Consider the following 3767-nt stretch of genomic DNA (forward strand, 5'->3'; position numbering starts at 1 on the left):
TACAGAACAGAAAAATATGGGGTTAAAAACAGCCATTGGAGTCTTCCCAATTCTCATTCAGAGAGGGTGGCATGAAAGCCAACAGAAATCGATGTTGATAGGAAACAAGTGTCATCAGAGAAGGTAAGGGCATTCGCAGAGGGAATAATATTATTTGTGAACTGTCATGGCATGGCCGTTTTTAAACTTATCTTCACAGCATCTCTCCTCATAAGCAAGAGCATGAAGAGCACGGAGAATGTCTGTTTGGTGGCCGACAGCCATCACGGGGTCTCTACGTGCCGGCCAGTCCTCACCTCGTTTGCACGCGTTTATGAACTTAGCCCTCCCTCCGCACCATGAAGGGGCCCTTATCGTCCCGTTTCACAGGTGTGGAGACAGAGGCTCGAGGGGAGAAACAGCCCTGGCGGGCGAAGGCAGAGCTGAGCTTCCGAGAAGGGCCTCCTGTGTTCAGAAATTCCAAAGGAGAAGTAGAAGTTGTCCTGTGGGCAGGAGGGGAGGGAGAAACTCCCAGATGACAGGTGCGAGCCGCGGCCTCGTGCTGACATCTAGAACCGGATGATGGGAGCGAACCGCGGCCTCGTGCTGACGTGTAGAGTGGGAGGGACCCTGGCATCCAGGGGCTTCTTTCTTGGGGAAACACCAAGTATAGAAAGTCAACCATCGTTGTCTCTCACGTAGGATTAACTGTTGCTTTTCAGCTTTTTTACACTTATTTTTTGTTAAGCTATGTCACTACACTTTTTTTTCTGAAATAACGTTAGACTTATGGAAGAGTTGCCAAGATCGTCCAGGAGTCCCCGCCCCCTTCAGGCAGCTTCCTCCCGTGTCAGCACCTTGCATACCCGACCTTGACCACAAGGATTGAGGCTAAGAATTAACACGGGGCAATTAACTACACAGTAGCTTGATTCAGATTCCTCCAGTTTCTGGTAACATCCACCTCCTGCTTTAGAAACAACACTGAGTTCCATGAGCACGCAGGTGTCATCTCGCTGTAGGCTCCAGCCCACGGCAGGCCCCGTGTTTCCTTGCCTCCCATGGCCTTGCCACTTGGAAGAGCACTGGCTGGGTGTTTTGAAGAACAGCCCTCAGTTTGAGTTTGCTATTTTATCATGTCTGGATCGAAGTTATGTGTCTGTGCCAAGAAACTGGCAGAAGCCCCATACCCTGCTCAGCGTCCGCAGTAGTGACTCACGGGCCCTATGCTTTGCCTCATTATGGGTTGTTTTGGCCCTGGTCACCTGGTTCTGGTGGGATCTGCTGGCTTCCCCCACTGTAACGTTACTATTCTTCATTTGTAATTTATTTATTTGTATTTACTTATTTTGAGATGGGGTCTCTCTCTGTCCCTCAGGCTGGAGTGCGGTCGTGCAATTTTAGCTCACGGCAACCTCTACCTCCCGGGCTCAAGCAATCCACTCGCTCAGCCTCCCAAGTAGCTGGGACTACAGGTGTGTGCCACTGCGCCCAGGTAATTTTTGTATTTTTTTAGAGACAGGATTTCACCGTGTTGCCCAAGCTTCTCTCAAACTCCTGAGCTCAGATGATCTACCTGCCTTGGCCTCTCAGGGAAGATACTTTGAGACTACAAGAGTATCCTATTTCTCCTCAAAGTCTTTTCTGCTAATTTTAGCATGGGTTGGTGGGTTTTGTCTGCAACAATTACTACTGTGGTGTTCTGAGATGATTTGTTTCCTCACTACTCTGCTGGAATTCCTCTGAAGGAAGGACCGCCCTCCCCTCACTGATTTATTCAATCACTCGTGTGCCTTCATGTGGACTTGTGCATATTTATGCTTTGGATGATCATCCCACACTGTCATTATTTACTTAGTTGCTAAAATTTACCCAGCTCTGGCCACTGGGCTTTTCCAGGCGGGCCCTTGGGACCCTCCCATCCTTCGGGAGCACTTTCTCGCTTTCCAGCATAACCCCAGGCTGCCCCGGTTTTTCCCCCAGCCCTGGAATCCATCATTTCTCCAAGGAACCCTGCTCTTTTTACTGGAGAATGAGCTTTAGAGACCAAGGTCAGGGCACTAACTGTGCTCATTGCTGCTGGGGTGTCGCTGAGCAAAGAGAAATGTGAATAGCAAATTAGCCTATAATTATTAATAATTATTTATTGATGGGTAAATAAAGGAATGAATGAAGGAGGAATTATTCAAAATACTCAAAAGATGGATGTTGAGTACGACACTTCCTCCTTGTAAGAAATAATTTAAATGTAAATGAACACGTATCTAACTTACAGCAGGGGCTATGCCTCTTGGTGTTTTCCTGTGTGTACATCGCTGTGACACATGAAAAACGGAGAGACACCCAGAGGCAATGAGAAATGCTGAACGACGCAAAGCAAAACAAAAGCAAACATTTAAAACAAACTTCTAAGTTTACAAGAAAGAAAGAACAGACTTCGAAAAAATACCCACCTGTCGATAAAATGAGATAAATTGACCATAGATGAACCTGCTCATCAACCAGTCTGGGATCCATATTTACATTATTTCTGTGATGCCAGAACTACCAGGTAAAAAGACAAACAAACAGAAACGGTCCCAGGCTGGTGACAAGCCAAGACTGCCTAAACCAGGGCCACCTGCTCTGAAGGGGGACTCCCCCACCTGCCTCCTGAGATTCCCACGGTCAGAGTTCCCCCAAAGACGATCCTACAGTCCTAGTGACGAAACACCCAGGGAAGCCAGCCCCAGGAGTGAGAGCTGCCAGAGGCCGCCTGTGCCCAGACACGAGCCCCAGAGTTAATCTATAGTGACCATCTTTAAAGTTATCAACTGTAGAAGAAGGGTTCAAAATCAAAGGAAAACATGGGACACCATGAAAAATACGAAGAGTTTTAAAAGAATAAAATAAAGCCTCTAAAAATGAAGTGTAGAGCTATTGAAATTTCTTTTTTTCTTTGAGTGGCTGAAGGGGGTAGTTCCCTTTCTCTGTGGGTTTTCAGCAGTTTCCCTGTGATTTTCAATAGGAAAAGCAACAGATTCAGCATAGCTGAAAGATTTCCCCTACAAAATAGCCCACAATGTCCACACAGAGAGTGAAGGAGGTGCGGACAAATGGGAGATGAAGACACACAGAGGAGAGAATGAAAAGCTTCCACTGGTTGTTAACAGGATTCACAGGGGAACAGGAAATCAAATGTTACGGGCTGGCAATAATAGAACAAGACAGATAAACTCACATCCAGACACATTGCAATGAAACCATAAAACACAGAAGACTGAGATCTTTAAAGCAAAAAACAATTGCTTTAAGCCACGTTAACTACAAAGGGGCATTTGAACGATGGAGGCTTCCCAAGAGCAGAAGCAGGACAGAGACGCAAAGTCCCTTCCACACAGTGGGGGAATGGCAGTCAGCCTCAAATTCGACACCCGGTTTGTGGGGTGAGAGGTTTTTCTCATTATCTTGATTATGATAATGGCTTCATGGGTTTATATCTATATTTCAAAACCTACCAAATTGTAGCCTTTCAATATAATCATTTTTGTATGCCAGTTGTTCCTGCATAAGGCTATAAAAAAAAAAAAAAGAAGAAGAAGAAAAGAAAGACAAACCCTAACAGACAGGCTTCACAGCGGATTAGACACAATTGAAGAGGAGACTGGGAAGCCAGACCATGAGGCAGTGGAAAATATCCAGACAGAAGAACAGAGAGAAAAACCTAAACCCTAAAATAAAATCCAACGATTTAAAAGATGGAAGACGTGTTGGAAACAACTAGCAGCAGCGAAGTGTTTGTGGCATCC

At 45.9% G+C, this 3767-nt stretch overlaps 1 annotated feature.

Moving 5' to 3' along the window:
• Positions 1-502: an enhancer, noted in NCBI's record as "H3K4me1 hESC enhancer chr5:965451-965952 (GRCh37/hg19 assembly coordinates)". NCBI's record gives its function as "activates a minimal SCP1, AML or CMV promoter by ChIP-STARR-seq in naive H9 embryonic stem cells {active_cell/tissue: H9 hESC(naive)}" and the evidence as "EXISTENCE:reporter gene assay evidence [ECO:0000049][PMID:30033119]".

Source organism: Homo sapiens, chromosome 5 (genome assembly GCF_000001405.40).
Source record: "Homo sapiens chromosome 5, GRCh38.p14 Primary Assembly".
Classification (NCBI taxonomy): Eukaryota; Metazoa; Chordata; class Mammalia; order Primates; family Hominidae; genus Homo; species Homo sapiens.